The sequence below is a fragment of the Homo sapiens genome, chromosome 5 (assembly GCF_000001405.40).
Source record: "Homo sapiens chromosome 5, GRCh38.p14 Primary Assembly".
NCBI lineage: Eukaryota > Metazoa > Chordata > Mammalia > Primates > Hominidae > Homo > Homo sapiens.
In genome coordinates, this window is record NC_000005.10 from 54,138,761 (window position 1) to 54,156,383 (window position 17,623).

The window sequence follows — 17,623 nt, forward strand, 5'->3', positions numbered from 1 at the left end:
AAACTATGCATCCAACAAAGGACTAATATCCAGAATCTACAAGGAACTCAAACAAATCAGCAAGAAAAAAACAATCCTATCAAAAAATAGGCAAATGACATGAATAGATATTCCTCAAAAGAAGATATACAAATGGTCAACAAACATGTGAAAAAATGCCCAATATCAGTAATCATCAGGGAAATGCAAATTAAACTCATAAGATATCACCTTACCCCAGCAAGAATGGCCATTATTAAAAAGTCAAGAAAAATAGATGTTGGTGTAGATATGGTGAAAAAGGAATGCTTATACACCGCTGGTGGGAATGTAAATTAGTACAACCTCTATGGAAAACAGTATGGTGATTTCTCAAAGAACTAAAGGTATATCTACCATTCGATCCAGCAGTCCCACTACTAGGTATCTACCTAAAAGAAAAGAAGTCATTGTATCAGGAAGACACCTGTACACACATGTTTATCACAGCACAATCCACAACTGCAAAGATATGGAACCAACATAAGTGCCCATCAATCAATGAGTAGATAAAGAAAATGTGGTACATACATACATGGAATACCACTCAGCCATTAAAAAAGAACAGAATAATGACTTTTGCAGCAACTTGCGTGAAGCTAGAGGTCATTATTCTAAGTGAAGTAACTCAGAAAAGACAAACCAAATACTATATGTTCTTAGTTATAAGTGGGAACTAAGCTATGGGTACGCAAAGGCATACAGAGTGGTACAATGAACTTTGGAGACTTAGAAGTGGGAGCCTGGGAGGTGGGTAAGGGATAAAAAACAACATATTGGTTACAATGTACACTACTTGGGTAATGGGTGTACTAAAATCTCAGACTTCACTAGTAAACAATTCATCCATGTAACCAAAAACCACTTGTACCTCAAAAGCTACTGAAATAATAAAAATTAAAAATTAGCTGAGCATGGTGATATCCACTTGTAGTGTCAGCTACTTGGAAGGCTGAGGTGGGAGGATCACTTGAGCCCAGGAGGTGGAGGCTGCAGTGAGCTGAGATCGTCCCACTGCACTCCAGCCTGGGCAACAGAATGAGACCCTGTCTCAAAAAAAAGGAATAAAAAATGACTTTTAAAAGTATTTTAAGTATGTTCAGAGATACACCTAAAGACTTTAAGCATCTTTTCTACATTTCTAAATTGAAAGCATACTCATTTTGGATCTTAACCAATCACCATTTAAACAAGTTTTCATCTGCTCCAGTAGAGATAATTTCGCCCTACAACTTGATAAATGTTTGCAAAATAGACAACTATATATGAGTAACAGCAAAGAAAGCCCAAATTTAAAATCTATCAATGTATCTATCTGACTACTATCCATCTTAAAGTCCACAGTAGTCTGACAACTAAGCGTCCAAGAAGTCTCCTCTGTGTTTTTAACTTCCTGGATTATAGTAGGTCTCTCTTAACTTACTGGAACAAAAAGGGTGATTAATTGATATCTAAATACATTTAGAAGATTTTGAAAGAAAAAAAAAAAAAAACAAGGCAGCATGTGCTCTGTCCCTAGTTCCTGAAGTATGAATTGTTTATTATAATATGGTAATCCCACTACCAGCTCTGGTTGTACCACCAACTATGATTTTGAAATAAAGGGTTTAAATATATATATATGCGTGTGTGGATAGACAGATAGATAGATAGATAGATAGATAGATAGATAGATAGATAGATAGATAGAGATAGAGATAGAGATATGCTTACACAGCCCACATTTAAAATCTACCATTATCTTAAAGAAAAAGAACATGATAGTGGTGGCTCCCACTCCATGGAGATCACTGATGGCAAAGTACAGAGTGGGAAAACATATTTATGTTTTACCCGCTTGGCATATTATAAATAGAACAATCTCAACCAGGCATTTTGCCAAGATGTGGAAAAATGAAATGAGGCAAAATGCAAATGGAAAATAAAATTACTTTTTATGCCAAAATAAGGTCTGGATGGAAAACTTTAACCAAAGATATGGTCTGGATATGGTAAGACTTATAGAAGATCAGCTGAAGATGATTTGAAACTGCAAAGATTCTTGAACAACAAAAAATGGTATTTCATTACCCATACACAAAACACAAACTGTCTAGATAGGAATTATGCTAATATATTTTGGAAGCAGATGCTTTCTAATATATTTTTTCACCTTAATGTCATTACCGTTTTTTCCCCAACCTGCTCCTTTCTATAAGATCTGCACTTTGCCAAATGCAGAATCACCAACACGAATAATTATTATAAATATAACCAAAATGGTTGGGAAGAAAATGTTATATCACTATGGTTTTGAGTATCACTACGGCATGAACCACAACTGGGTTATACTGAGAAATCTCTCACTCTTTATATAATGAATCTGTCATTTTTTTTTATTAACTGAGTGCTGCTGTACACAGACAGATCAATCTGTCTTCTCTTATTAGCACTGAGATTTTAAAAGTCTACACATTAAGTTAATTGATTTGATAATTTCTTTATCTTAGAGTTTGAAGTGCTTACACATTTAATCTTAACAATTCAGCTATATACGATTACCTAGAAACTGACGGTTTTCTTTCCGAGTCCTTTCCCAGTCACTTTCATCTTTTTTCAAGCTTTTTTTACCTTAATCTGTCTAGAATAAATTTTCATTGGAAAGCAATCCAAGAAAAGGGCCAAAGTCTCCACAAAACACAATTTCAACGATTTTTAACTGGAGATAATTAAGAGTATCTTTTAATTTTGCAAGTTATAGAAATATTTTTAATAGTTTTAGTGTGGTATAACTGACACACAATAAACTGCATATATTTAACATGTACAATTTGACAAGTTTTGACATGTATACATGGTGAAACCATCACCACAATCAAGATAATAAGTATATCCAGCACCTCAAAAGTTTTCTCATGACCCTTTTAATCTCTCTCTTTCACTTATTGCCATATTTTCCTTCTCCCACTCCCAGGCAATCACTGGTCTTTCTGTCACTAAATATGAGTTTGCATTTTCTAAAATTTTATATAAATAGAATACAAATTTATCTCAGTAGGAGAACACTATTTTATTTTGCTTGGCTTCTTTCACTCAGCATAATTATTTTGAGATTCATCCATGTTGTTGCATGTATCAATAGTTCATTCACTTTGATTACTAAATAGTATTCTATTATACAGATGTACTACAGTTTGTTTATCCATTCACCAATTGATGACATTTGAGTTGTTTCCAGTATTGTGTTATTACAAATAAACTGTGTACAAGATTTTGCATCGATGTAAGTTTTCACTTCTCCTAAGAGTGGAATGGCTGGATTATCAAATTGGTGTACATTTACCTTTTTCAGAGACTGTTAATCTGTTTTCAAAAGCAGTTGTGCCATTTTACACTTTCACCAGCTCTATAGCTACAGTAAGTGGAGGAGTTAAGGTCTTCAAACCCTAACTGATTCCAGATCCTATCTTCTGTAGGCTCCATTTTTTTCTAAATTAGACATCAGCTTTGGCCAGAATTTGGATGACAGGAGATGGAAATTTAAAGAGTGGCATGGGGGAATTTGGATTATAGGAGATAGGAATTTAGGGAGCAACATGGGGGAGTTTGTCTAATGACAAAAATAAAGGATGCTCACAGCCTGGGGAACTAAGTAATTCCTATCTCATTGGTACCAGGAGCTAACCTAGACGACAGAGACAAAGTAAAGATCAGTCAGAAAGAACAACTCAGAACAGAGGACCAAACTGAGCCACGAGGGTTGATCAGTGACAGCCCATGCTCTCCTGGACTCACCTTGCTGGCCCATTCATGCCTGTGGCCTCCCTCTCCAATGACCTCCCATCACCCCTCATAAGGACAAGATGCTGTTTACTTTCCATCCGAAATGACTGTGGTTCCGGGAGTTGTTAGGAGGCCAACGTGTTCCATGCTCTTATGTTAATAGTGTGGGGATAAAAACTAAACAAAGGAAGCAAGCATCTGACAATAAATGAGTCTACTGGAAGTGAAAAAAAAATCCAATTTACCAATTTTCCTTTTATGGATCATGCTTTGGTGTCTAAGAAATCTTTGCCTAACCCAAAGTCACAAAGATTGTCTTATATGTTTTCTACTAGAAGTTTTATTGTTTTAGGTTTTAAATTTAGACCTTGGATCCATTTTGATTCATGACACAAGACTGGAGTACTTTTAAATTTTGTTGGCTGTGCCATTATTTTTGTCTATTTGCTATTAATTTCTAATTTTACTGGATATTAACCAGAAAACACATAAAATATGGTCACATGTGTAAACATTATATGGATAATTCAAAGAACATATATTTTCTATTTGATTATAAAAATATACAATTATCAATTAGATCAAGTCTGTTAATTGGCTATTTAAATCCTTTATATATTTTTATTTATTTGATCTGTTATCTGCTCAAATAAGGAGAGCTAAATTTCCCTACTAATTGTGGATCGATCTGTTGACTTTACATTTCTCTTAGTTTTAGCTTTATATAGTTCAGGATTATGTAGTTAAATATTTAAAGGTTCATGATTACTTAGTTATCTTAGTATATCAATATGAAATCTTTTTCTTTAGTCTATTTAATGATCTTTGCTTGAATTCTATTTCATCTCATATTACTTTAAGTACTTTCTTTTTTATGGCCTTTTTTAAGGGTATCATTTCCTATATATATTTTTACCTTAACCTATCTTTTTTTGTAGAAGTGTCTTTTGTCACCATATATAGCTGAATATGTAATATTTTTATGCTATCCGTATTAGAAAAGGGAATTTAATCTACTTACATTTATTGTGGTTATTGATACAGATATACGTGTTTTCTATTTATCACAACTTTTTTGATTGTTTTATTTCTTTCTTTCTTGAACTTTGCTAAATGTATCAAATATTCTTTGCTTTTTGTCCTTACAGTACATTTCCTTTCTTAAAAAATCTTTATGCTTTAAAAAAAAAGTTATGGAAAAAAATTCATGCACTACAGATAAAGCAAAATTTGTATTTGATCCCGGTGAACTCTTACTCCGTTCCCTAAGATAATTTATTATATGAGCTGAATAGGTAAACTTTCAAAACTTTCTTAAAAATTCATTTATGAATATATCATCCTATTTTTATTATCATGTTTATTCTTAATTGCCTTTAAGACACATAAACTTCAATTTTTTTCTTCTTTAAATCATAATCTATACCCTAAATAAAAAAAGAACATAATATACTTTTATGCTTGTTTCTCTTTACCTGACCCTGCCATCTTCCATGTTAAAATCAGAAATAAAGCTATTTTATGTGTGCATGCATGTGTGTGTGTATGTGTGAAAGAGAGAGAAATCGTAATTAATAGTTTATTTTTGTTTATAATATTTCTAAGTATGGTTATTTTCTTATTAATTATATTTGGAATTGAGAGGGCTCATTACATCTAAATATTTTTTTTTCATATTTTATGCTTTTTCTCCTACTATTTCTTTGATAATTTTGTCCTTTCCAGTTTCTCTTTTCTCTAAGAGAATTACAGGGATGCTAGAACTTCTGTAACTATTCTCTATGTCTCTCAAATTTTTCCCCACATTTCTGAAGTATTCTTTTTGTATGTCATTCTGAAAAAGATTCCCTAGTTCAATCTTTCATTTCCCTAATTTATATGTGAGTTGTATTAATGACCATTTTCATTTTAAATTTTAAAGTCAAACTTTAAATTCTTAATTTCTGTGCTTGAGTCTTTTTCATGAATACATCTCTCTGAATGTCTTCTTCTGATCACTCTATTACCTCTAGGTCCTTGAATATTTTTTCTTCTCATTTTTCATTTGGCATCTTTCTTTCATGGTACTGATTTACTTCATATTGCGGTGTGTCATAATTATATGCTCATCTTTTGTTTGAGAATCTCTGTGTGCCAGCTCTTTTGTTTACCATTGTCTGTTTCCAGTGATTAATAGGGACAGACAAGTGGCTTGTCTCCTGTGTGGGTGGGCTTTCTAACCCACCTGGCAGTCAGCACATTACTGAGGCACTGCCCTACCTCTCTGGGTCTAGCACCCACACTCAAGGATTTAGTTTGTGGGTAAACACAGCTGCTATCCACTACTTAACACAAGGAGAAAAGAAAAATAAAGGCACAGCTCCAAATGTGGAGCTCCAATTAATAACTCTGATGAGCCCTTTGATTAATAATCCTGACGAATTCCTCTTTTATTTCGTGTTTCCATTGTCTGTACCTTTAGCTTTGTCTTGCTTTCTTTTCTTTGTTGAGGATTTAAATCTATTTTTGTTATAGATTTAATTTATTGTTTCTTTTCTTACCATTTTTTTCATAAAATAGAATTTTGGCTATGGAAGAAAAATATAAAGACATATATAACAAAAGACATTTAAAAAAACAACTTCCAATTTTCAATCATGTACGTTGCTTAAATTTAAGGGCTTCACACACTTGTACCAACAGTGATAATTAACTTTACATAAATTCTTCGCATTATTGCTGCTCACAATGATGCCATAAATACCAGGGAATTTCAAGATTAAAATAATCAAGCATCTTCAGTAGAATCTTTCAACAATACTTTGGACCGCAAGAAATTAAATGCAACAAATTTTTGATTCCTCAAAAGAACACTACTCAGATCTATTTTAATCAGCTTTGAACGTGTCAGAGAATCAATCTAGTCTGTTAAGTGATAAATAGCTATAAGCATATTACCTCTTCAACAGTTGTCGAGTTGCCATTCCATTTATGGGAATCTAGTTTTATGTTTTTCTGAGAACTTCCATAATCATTATGGCCAACATCACTCTCCCACCGAAGTATACAAAGAAACAGTCTCAGAGGATGGTGTGTGTGTGTGTGTGCGTGCGTGTGTGTGTGTGTTCACCCACACCTGGGCATGGCAGGGATTGCATCCTCAGGGCCTGGCATGGAGTTGGTATTCATTAAATATTCACTGAAGTGAATTAAATAACAATAACAAAACAACCTTTTGCTTGTGAAGTGTCTAGCATTACTCTTGCATCTTGGGTCATAATTTGGCAAATTTCCCTCCAGCTTGAAACTGCTGAGATATTTTATACTATAGTACAGTGAACCCTTAAGATTATGGTTTGTTTTTCAATGATTCATAAATCTCCAATCTTGTTTCATCTGTAAACTAAACTTAGTGTATCTCCATGACTTTTGTCTCATCTGTCCCTTTTCGTAGACTCTTTTCCTCTGTGAAGTCTCCTTTCTCCTTCCTATATGATCCTAACTGCATCTTATACTCAGTCTTGTTACAGGACTTACCACACCAGACTGTAATGCTTCTCAAGGAAAACATCAGAGTGATAGGAACTTTGTCAAGTTAGTATTAGTTATTTTTTATTTTATGTATATACCCTGCCTCACACCATACACACAAAGAGCTTTGAGACTTATCCAAATGTTTACTGTACAAAAAAAAAACAAAAAACAATAATTGAAGAACCCAGGATGAAAGAAAAATAGAGTGAACAATGCTACATAATCCTGTACAGAGGTTAGAGGTAGGATCTACGATTTGTAGGGGCCAAAGCAAGATAGATACTATGACTTTCAAGATAAAAATAAACTAGTTACGTTATACTTAAACAAGAGAATTGTTATCAGCATCTTCGACTGCTGGAAAAAAAAATAAGTAGCCTTGGAAAAGTTAAGTGCGCCCTGCCCAATATCCCATGGCTTGTTTTGTTAGAGGAAAATACTGGTCTCTTGACTTCCAGTGCTGTTGCTGCACTACCACACTGAAACTAAATACACAGTGAAAATTAGTTGCTATTATGGCAATCCCTGGGAGAAACAAATACTTATTCCCTTGTGAGGGATAGGAAGTTAAACTAAGAACCCAACACAAATGTTCTGTGAGGCAGTTTAGTAGAGCTGGAAGATACGAAATGACCTGATGGCCCCTGAAGAGGAAACAGTGGTGCAGCAGCAACCTTCAGAGGCACATGAGATCCTCATTGCCAGGGGGGTCAAAAGGCCAGAAAAATCATTTCTAGAACATTCTACATGTATATACAGTCTTAGAAAAAGTGGACCCTTAAGTGCTATACTAGACTATGACTGGGAAGATAAATTTTTTAAAATTTCCTAAGGCACTTCTCCAGAAGAAAACAAAAATTAAGGTCAGGTCTACCTCAGCCAGTAACAGACTTCTGGGCCCCTAGATTCATTTATTTGGCTCTGCTGACTGTTTGGCTCAGTTTTCCCTTAGCAAGTGTAAAAAACACTTAAACACCACCACCCTGGGATCCTATTCAACCAATTCAGATAGCTGTGGCCTTTTAACTCACATCCAAGTGACTTGGCTTTATACCAATATCATTTCCCCTAGTATAGGCTAAGCCTAAGTGAGAAAGTACACAGCTCAGGGAGCCAGGAGTTAACTGGCTGTTCTCATTCCAAAAAGGCCTGGTTCTTTTCCTTGATAAGGAAACAATATTATATCAAGAAGTTGCGGTCATTCAGTATTACATATCACACTAGATCCATGACTATAAAAAGAGAATTAGTGGAAATACCACCATCTATTCTTAAAGCATCTCTCCAAGGAGCTTTAGATAATTGAAAATGTTCTCTTCCAGCCCAATCCCTTGGGAAATAAATAGAGGTGATTTATTAAAACTTACATTTTACGTATAAGAAAATAACAACAAGAAAATCAATTGCAGAGAGTGGCAGAGGATCTTGAGGGTATCCTCTACTTGCTGAACCACACTTCTTCCTTAGAATTATATAATAAATACAGAATATGTACATTTACTTGTGTATAGCTGCCTGTGATTTACCTATAGTAAGGTCAAAAGCATTCTATGGACATGGTCTTCCTTGAGCCCTTCTTCTGTGCTGTCATTTTCCTTTGCCAGGGAAATGGTTTCTCACCATCCCTCCCATGGACACCTATGTCTGGAAATGTCTAAAACACTTTTCGAATAGCAAGTTGCTTTCTCCTATACCAGCAAGAAATTTTTGCAACTCCACCTGTCCCTCAAAGCAATGTGGCCACAATAACCTCTGCAAGTCTGTCTGCCTATGCTGTTTCTTTTTCTAATACCCAACTAATTTATTGATTTATATTGTCTTTACGTCTCCTCTGGCTTTGCAGTGTGGCATGAGTCTCAGAGCCAGTGATTACATTACATTCATAAGTATTTGGCTGGAGTTTTAAAAAATGAGAGATGGTAGTGGGGATCTGGAGGGGGATGATGCATAATATACATGGAACTGTGAAAATGCGTAAGATAAAAATTAAAGAAGTCTTCTTTCCTCTAAAGTAAGATTTAATAAAATGAGACTCTGACGAAAGAAAGCTTTATTTTGGTGAAAGACATCAAATGGCATGTGTACAAAAGACAGAAACTAAAAGAAATAGGCAGCAGTGCCCCCTGGGTTGCCTGTCAAGAAGTGTGTCCTGTACAGTTTCTGGAGAAATTAAGAAATGCAAATAACCTGGGCAGATTAACAGCACCCGAAGATAACTAGCAGGATACAAACAAACAGCACCTTTCACTATGAGGAGGCGTATTCCTCCAGGCAAACAAAGAAACAGGACAGAGTCAACATCTGTTTCATATAACAGCTTGGCTGCTGACAGAAGAAACCTTAAAAAAATGGCTTAGCTGACAATCCACAAAAATCATTCAATCACTATTGCATGGGCCGAAGCAAACGAGTAAATGAACACAACCTGCACTTTCTATATTACCCTAAAAAAGTTGTCTTTTCTTTATAGGAAGAAAAAAATTAAAATGAAAATGCAAACAAAAATCTTCATGAACTTTCCCCTTTTGATTGACAACAGGCAGCAATGAATACTGAATCATAAAAGACAGCCAGCTGCTTTTCAGCTGGTCTTTGCCTTTCTCAATGTCAATTGCGAAGACACCACTTTCAAAGAGAACATTGGGTAAGGATGGTGGCTGGGATGGGGCATGGGGAGACAATTCAGATGTAACACATTAGAATATTAAGAGGAAGAAAACAAGTCATTTGACACACCCAGTCCTGGTTACAGAATTCAGTTAGGGAGTATTATGATGTCTGGGTCCTTATCAATAAATAATAACACACCAAACATGTTAAGAACTAAAAATTTCCATCTCTGGATTCTATCAATTCACACATACAATTTCAAAATCAAGAGGAAAACATTCATGACTGCATAGAAACCTGTTTGTAAATTTAAGTACTGGACATTTCTAAAATGCAACATTATCAGAGCTGTGACATCACTGCAGTGTGGACAACTGCTTTCAACTCAGCTAAATGCCGTGACATCACTGCAGTGTGGACAACTGCTTTCAACTCAGCTAAATGCCAGATGCTTCACTTACTTTCATAATGCGGTTAAAGTACATAAGGCAAATGCAAAATGAAAGCAATTAAGAGGCAATGATAGAAGAGATTTTTCAGGTGAAATGTGAAAACAGAAGGAAAGGTGATGAGGTGGAGCAGGACAAGATCATTTGATATTAACGCACGCACAGTGCCAAAACTATGCTAGGTAGCTAAACAGAGACTCCAGTGAGGGCCTTTTCGAGTTGCTTCTCAGTTTAAACAGGTGTAATATCTTGTTTAAGTGGAAGAGAGGTATGACCACAAAGAGAAAAAAAAAATCAATACATGATTTGCATTATTTCTGACCTTGGAAAAAAGGCTTTATTGAAAGGTGTCCTTTATTGCACAGAATTGAGAGGCGGCAAAGTGAGAGTATGATCATTATAAAAGCAAATCTTCCATAATGTGAGCTATAGGCCAAGCAAATTCTCAGTGGTTGACCTGCATTTACTAATTTAGCCCTCACAAGGATTATATGACATAGGAACTATTATTATCTCACTTTACAGATAAGGGAACAGAGATACAAGAAGGTGGTAGACTTGCCTAGAATCATACAGAATTTCTGAGCTTTGAAACAAGTCACTAGAAGGAAGGAAAATTCTTTAAAGAGTAATCCATCAGTCCATTCAGCATCCTTGTTAGGTATCTTGTACAATATCCAGAAAAATAAAATAATCTAGAGCAAGACAAGCACAGTAACTAATTAAAACTAAAAGAGAAGGAATTGAGATTAGCTTCACCAAAAACCTCCTGGATAAAAGACTATATAGGAAAACAAAAAGTTCACGAAGTAATACTATAAAATGTCCTGCGTAGGAATCAGGACTAATATCCAGGCTTGCTAATACCTTGGATGGTATTAGAAAACCCCTTCAGGTGTGAAAGGGCCTAAATGGATATCTGTTCTAGGCCTATAAGAAGTAATAGTTGACTTTAAGAAGTCAAGTATGGAAGAGTTTCCTCTGGCACCTCTTACTTGGTTTATGCAGGAACAGTGCTTGTTTTGACACTATAACCACCACAACTTTCTAGAACTGAGCCTGGCATGTAATACATGCTCAGTAAATATTTGCTGAATGAATGAATTACAAAGAATAAACGAATAAAACAGTGAAATGTTTGTGGAAAGTTTTAGATAGTTTGGAAAGTAGAAGTAAGACTTTGATTCAGAAGGTAGTCTTGAAGAAATCAAAGGAGGGAAGCAGGATTACAGAACCAGAAGTCAGAACCATAACTGAGCAAGAGTTTGACTTGAAAGATCTCTAAATAAGAGAGTGTGAGAGAGAAAATGAATGATAAAAGCAACAGAAATAATTAGAGATTAAGTCCTATAAATGTCTTTGAGCAGAGAGCAAGGTATTCATGTTTTGTCAATATGGTATTTTAGGGATGGGCGCAGTGGCTTATGTCTGTAATCTCAGCACTTTGGGAGGCTGAGGGCAGATCATTTGAGGTCAGGAGTTCGAGACCAGCCTGGCCAACATGGCGAAACCTTGTCTCTACTAAACATACAAAAATTAGCGACGTGCGGTGGCTCATGCCTGTAAACCCAGCTACTCGGGAGGCTGAGGCAGGAGAATTACTTGAACCCATGAGGCAGAGGTTGCAGTGAGCCGAGATTGCACCACTGCATTCCATCCTGGGCAACGGAGCAAGACTCTGTCTCAAAAATAAATAAATAAAAAATAAAAAATGGTGTTTTACCAACACACTGTTAACCAAAAAAAAAAAAAAACCAAACCAACATGTGAAGACTTCAAATCATGCAAATAATAATGATACAAACAGCAGCAAATAACAGGTGGGAGCACTTCTCTTGTGCCAGGCCCTGGGTAAAGTGCTGTAGGTGTAGAGTGCACTGGTTAGGCACAAGAGCTCAGACTGATACCAACCTCCGGCTCCAAATGACCACAGTCAAATCATCATGTCTGGTGTTATCTTATCTGTGAGATAATAATAGCATCTACTCTCTAGGCATGAAGTTGCAAAGACTGAGACTGTGTAGGGGAGAGAAAAGGGAATAAGGGCAAAACAGAAGAAGAAAATTTAGAGCTCCAATTTCACAAAAAGATAGGCATAATCACTGCAGCCTGGAGGGTGTGACAGGTAGTTGAGAACAAGGCATTCTTAAAATAGCAAAATAGAAATGGCCCACCAAACCACTGGGCTAGACTATCACTGTGTCATAATTTACCTTGTACTTCTGCACTTAATTTTTTTCCCTTTCATTTCATTATTTTCAAAATTTTCACTAATTTCCTATTTCTCTTTTCATGAATGTCTCCATCACTGAATGAGGAGTTCCCTGAAGATGAGGGCTGTGCTTAGATCTTTCATTCTCTGCCCATAGGACCATGCTAGACCCATAATTAATTGTGGTAAAATGATCAAGTGAACAGTAAGAAAACACCACATGAAAAGAAATTGATGTGAATGAGAATTTTAAGAATTTTTCAGGAAAAAGATATAAAAACACTTTCACAAAACAGAAAATTGGTAAGAGGAAATAATAATTTTTATAAGTAATATATATTCAACACATATATATTCACACACAAACATATGTTTGTGTGTGCAAACATATAGTTTGTCATTAAGATCCCCAAAAGTGACTTTCACTGAGTGTAACTCCATTATTCATTGTTTCCTCACCCCATATCATTTCTTCTAAATAGATAATGAGCACAGGTTTATGCGCTTCCCTATTTTGAAGAAGTGAGAATTTTAACTTAAGACTGGGAAAGAGTGAAGAAGAGCCTTGGAACTATCTGAAATGGGTAGAGGAAGGACATTAGCAGGGAGAACAGGGGCCATGCTGTTCTCCTGAATTAACCCCAGGATAAGGAGAACTACCTGGGCATTCCTCACTAAGAATTCATCACTGTCCTGGCTCTTAATCTCTATATTTACCACCTATTTTCTTGAGGTCCTCCCCTGAATTCAGAATTTTTCTCTGATTGACAATGTGATTGAACTCTGATTAACCTGTCTTCTGAGCAACCCTCCACTGGTGAATAAAAGCTTCATATCTTCACACATTGATCATAAAACATATAACTCTCTCCTCCCAGAAATTCTCAGTCAAGCAACTCCCTCTCAGACAACTTGATTTCAGCCAGTCATAATTCCCCCTAAGTGCACATACACCTTATTTTGGGATGATCCCCTTCATATCTAGCATACACGTTAACTCCTAGGAAAGCTACACTTTATACAGGTTAGCCTAGCTTTTCATGTGTTCCTGGTTGAGACATAACCTAGTACCTAGCCTCAAAAAATATTTGAGGAAATGACTTAGTGAATGAGCTGTCAAGAAGTCAACTCCCTTAAGTGCTTGCCCCCGAGCATGTGACACAGGATACACAATTGGATTCTACTCAGAAAGTCCCCTCTTCCTTCAGACACTGTGTCAACTGGAAACAGAGCTATTAAAGTTGAGAAAGTAAAAGAATCTATGCATAGGCTAGAAATTTGCTCTTCAATACTAACACATGCCAAAAACTTATGTATCACTAGCCTGGAACGAATGTATCTGCTCTGATCCCTGAGGCTCTGCCTTTTACCTGCATCTCTTAACCTCATTACGAAATAGGTACCAACTAAAACATAACCACCAAATCCTATGGTATCCTCTCCATTGTAATTTCCATTTCAGCAACTGTCAGGGAACAGCTCTTTCGGCAAAATTAAACCGTGCTTGAGAACAGACCTATTCCCACCTTATGTACCTCTAGTCCCCTAACTTGATCTTTCATTGTACTGAATTTTGATGGCACAGAGCCAACCTTACGAATTCCTTGGTGTTCACTTTTTTTAAAACTGTCCACATACAGTTACTGTTTGTTTCATCCAAGTAAACATCATATGTAATAAATGTCTTATTAACCAACCAATAGTTTCTTATACCTGGAAGGTGTTCAATAAAAGCTTTGTGTCCAACCTAAAAATAAAATACTTAGTAACAGCCATATTTAAAACCCATATAACTCTCAAACCATGCATTTACAATGTGTTCTTTGATTTTTAAATATCCATAAGTAATATTATTGTCACCAAGGAATAATCAGCAGAAGCCACAAAGCAAAAAAGCATTTTTTTATAAACCATGCATCTGGAAATTTTAAATAGGAGAAAGATTATTTTGTTTCATTTGAATGTTCTGCCAGCTGCTTGTATTTCTTTTTTGAATTAAATTAAATTAAACTAATTTCTAGACGTTAATTTATCAATAGTTTCTGAGCAACCATTGTATTTAAGGTTTTAAGCATATGGCATGGTTAATATGCCATACATTTATTTTTCTTAAAAGTACAATTATAATTTAAAATACCCTAATAGAACACAGTCTTTTAAAAACTTTGCATAGAAAAATTATTATAAGAACATTCATGTTTTATAATTTTTGGAGTCAAAATGACAAAACCAAATGTCTTAAAGAAAAATCGGAATTTATTGATCATGGTTGTTTTATATATTAATGCTATAAAGCTAAAAGTGAATATGAAATTGACTGGCAGAAGCGAACCTGTCCTACACATAGCGAACTGAAAACAGACACCTGAAAAGATCAGCCAGTTTTTTATTAGATAAAAATAAGAAGGTACCAAACGCTATTAAAATGGCGTAAAGTTGGTGTTACAATCTCATCGAGCTAAAAATAGGTCACAGTTAGAATGACCTTAAGGGAAAATAAACAAAACAAAACAAAACAAGGTAAGGCCAATATCACAAAGTGATTAAAGAGATGGAAGATAACTCTCTCCTAAGTCATTAAACTCACCGATATCATACTGAACTCCAGAGCACTTAGTATTTTCATGCGCCATTAGAGAATTTAGTGGGTTCACTGAATTGACTGATTTCTTTGTTAATCTATTTACATGGGTTAAGACCCTGACTAACATAAAACACAACCAAAAAATGCCAGACAGAGAGTGTAATGAAAGACTGAGTGATGTATGGTTTGGGGTACAGCCTATCCGATAAATGTGCTTGGCCAGCAAAGAACCCATTGGCAAAGATTTATTATCGGAACAAATACATTCTAAAAAGATCTAATACAATAAAACCTGCAGTATAAACACAAACTACTCTAAAATACAAATCTTTTCCCCGAATAGTTGATCTTTCAATGATATTAAAATTCTCTTCATATGTTTTATTCAAGAATTTTTTGAACAAGTAAAACCAATGAGCTGTATAAATTGCCAATAATAGTGTAATTCTTTGATTCATTCAAAAAACCCCCAAAGTTTATGTTACTTAGAACTCTTCAACAATTTTTAAAACATACGAAGAGAAGGAAATATTTCTAGGAAATATATTATCAAGATAAAAATGAACCACCTACTAAAATAAGTTATCATTATGTTTGAATTACATATAATACATTATTACCAAATTCATAAAAGTTAAGGGCAGACATAGAAATGATTTGAAATGTTATACCTCCAAGTTCTTTTACATTCAAGATGGCATTCTGGAATGGCACTGCTTTAATACTAAAACCTAAAATTAGAAAACAAAAACATAAAAAAAGAATTAGCAACTTTTAAATTAAAACACTTAGGATGCTCAAATTGTCTCTTTTTAGGCTGGTTAAGATTTATTTACTTTTTGTAGCTGATATTTATACTAGAAACACATAATTTCCAAGGTAAACTGATAACTGAATATTATCTTCTGCCATTATCAAAACATAGTTGTTGTGGCTGGGCACAGTGGCTCACACCTGTAATCCCAACACTTTGGGAAGCCAAGGCGGGCAGATCACGAGGTCAAGAGATCAAGACCATCCTGGGCAACATGGTGAAACCCCGTTTCTACTAAAAATACAAAAATTAGCTGGGTGTGGTGGCACACGCCTGTAATCCCAGCTACTCGGGAGGCTGAGGCAGGAGAATCACTTGAACCTGGGAGGCAGAGGTTGCAGTAAGCTGAGATCGGGCCACTGCACTCCAGCCTGGTGACACGCCGAGACTCCATTTCAAAAACAAACAAACAAACAAGCAAAAAACATAGTTGTGTATTACGGCAATATATAACACTATCCCCTTTACTTCAAAATATTGCCTTATTCTTTAATTTAATATGTAATGTCACTCTGCAACTTTTATCAGATATAAGAAAGACATTTGAAAGTATAGAGAAATTTCAAAGAAAATATTAAATCTATGAGGACCTCTGCATCTAACTTTAATTCTTAAAGTTAATGTCTTATAATTCTTTCTCACATATAACTCAGCAACCCTAGAAATTAAGGTACTTAAATTATAACCATTTCATATTAGAATTACATAGTATTTATGTTAGTGTCTTCTTTAAAGGACATGGTTAATATGTCATGTATCTATTTTTCTTAAAAGTACAATCATAATTATCCACTTATGCATAGGCAATCATTTTATAATACATGTAATACAAGTTTTATATTATAAGAAAATATTCAGAGTATACAGTTCTATGATTAACTATATATTTATGACTTAACTATTACCATTCAAGACAATAAATTCAACTGTGACATATGCAAGTGTGTATATACCCATTCACACACACACACACACACACACGCACACACACACATGCAAATATACACACAGATTCTTTCTGAAAGGATCCACAAGAAACCAGAGCTAATGACTCTCAGGAAAACTGGGAATCTGGAAATTTTAAATAGGAGGAAGATTCTTTTGTTTCATTTGAATGTTTTGCCATGTACTTATATTTCTTTTTTGAATTAAAAGCCCTATGAATTTCTAGGAGTTAATGTATCAATAGTTTCTGAGCAACCATTCTACTTAAGGTTTTTAAGCATTATTTAATATGTATAATTTTAAGATTAAAAAAGTTTCTTTTTCAAGAATTTATCAACAAAGAAGACAAATTATGAGTCTTTGAGGTAAGTTATGAAAAAATATATAAAGTATTACATGGATAAAAACAATTCTTTCAAATGGGTTTGTTTTGCTTTATAAAGAAGGAAATCATTACACACCTTCTTAGTCTAGCCTATCTTTTGCACTTCTTTGCTGCATGTTATCCCAGTACTTTAATAAGCTGTACATTACCTTCCACCTAAAGCAGTACATAGTATATAATGTTTGAAGAACTGACTTTGGAGTCAGACAGAACTAGGTTGAAATTCTAGCTCTGTCCCTTATTAGCTCTGTGAATGTGGGCAACCTACTAGCCTTGCTCGACTTTCTCATCTGTAAAACAGGGATGATAATATCTACTTCATAGGGTTGTT

The 17,623-nt window shown here is 35.0% G+C and overlaps 1 protein-coding gene across 10 annotated transcripts in view; it reads right to left on the reverse strand.

Moving 5' to 3' along the window:
- ARL15 (ARF like GTPase 15) overlaps positions 1-17,623 on the reverse strand; it is a 426,632-nt gene that overhangs the window by 254,819 nt on the left and 154,190 nt on the right. For all 10 annotated transcript variants that reach the window (NM_019087.3, XM_011543500.3, XM_017009598.2 and 7 more), the window contains one exon: positions 15,820-15,879. In NM_019087.3, the coding sequence (NP_061960.1) occupies positions 15,820-15,879 (60 nt within the window). The remainder of the gene's footprint in view (positions 1-15,819; positions 15,880-17,623) is intronic.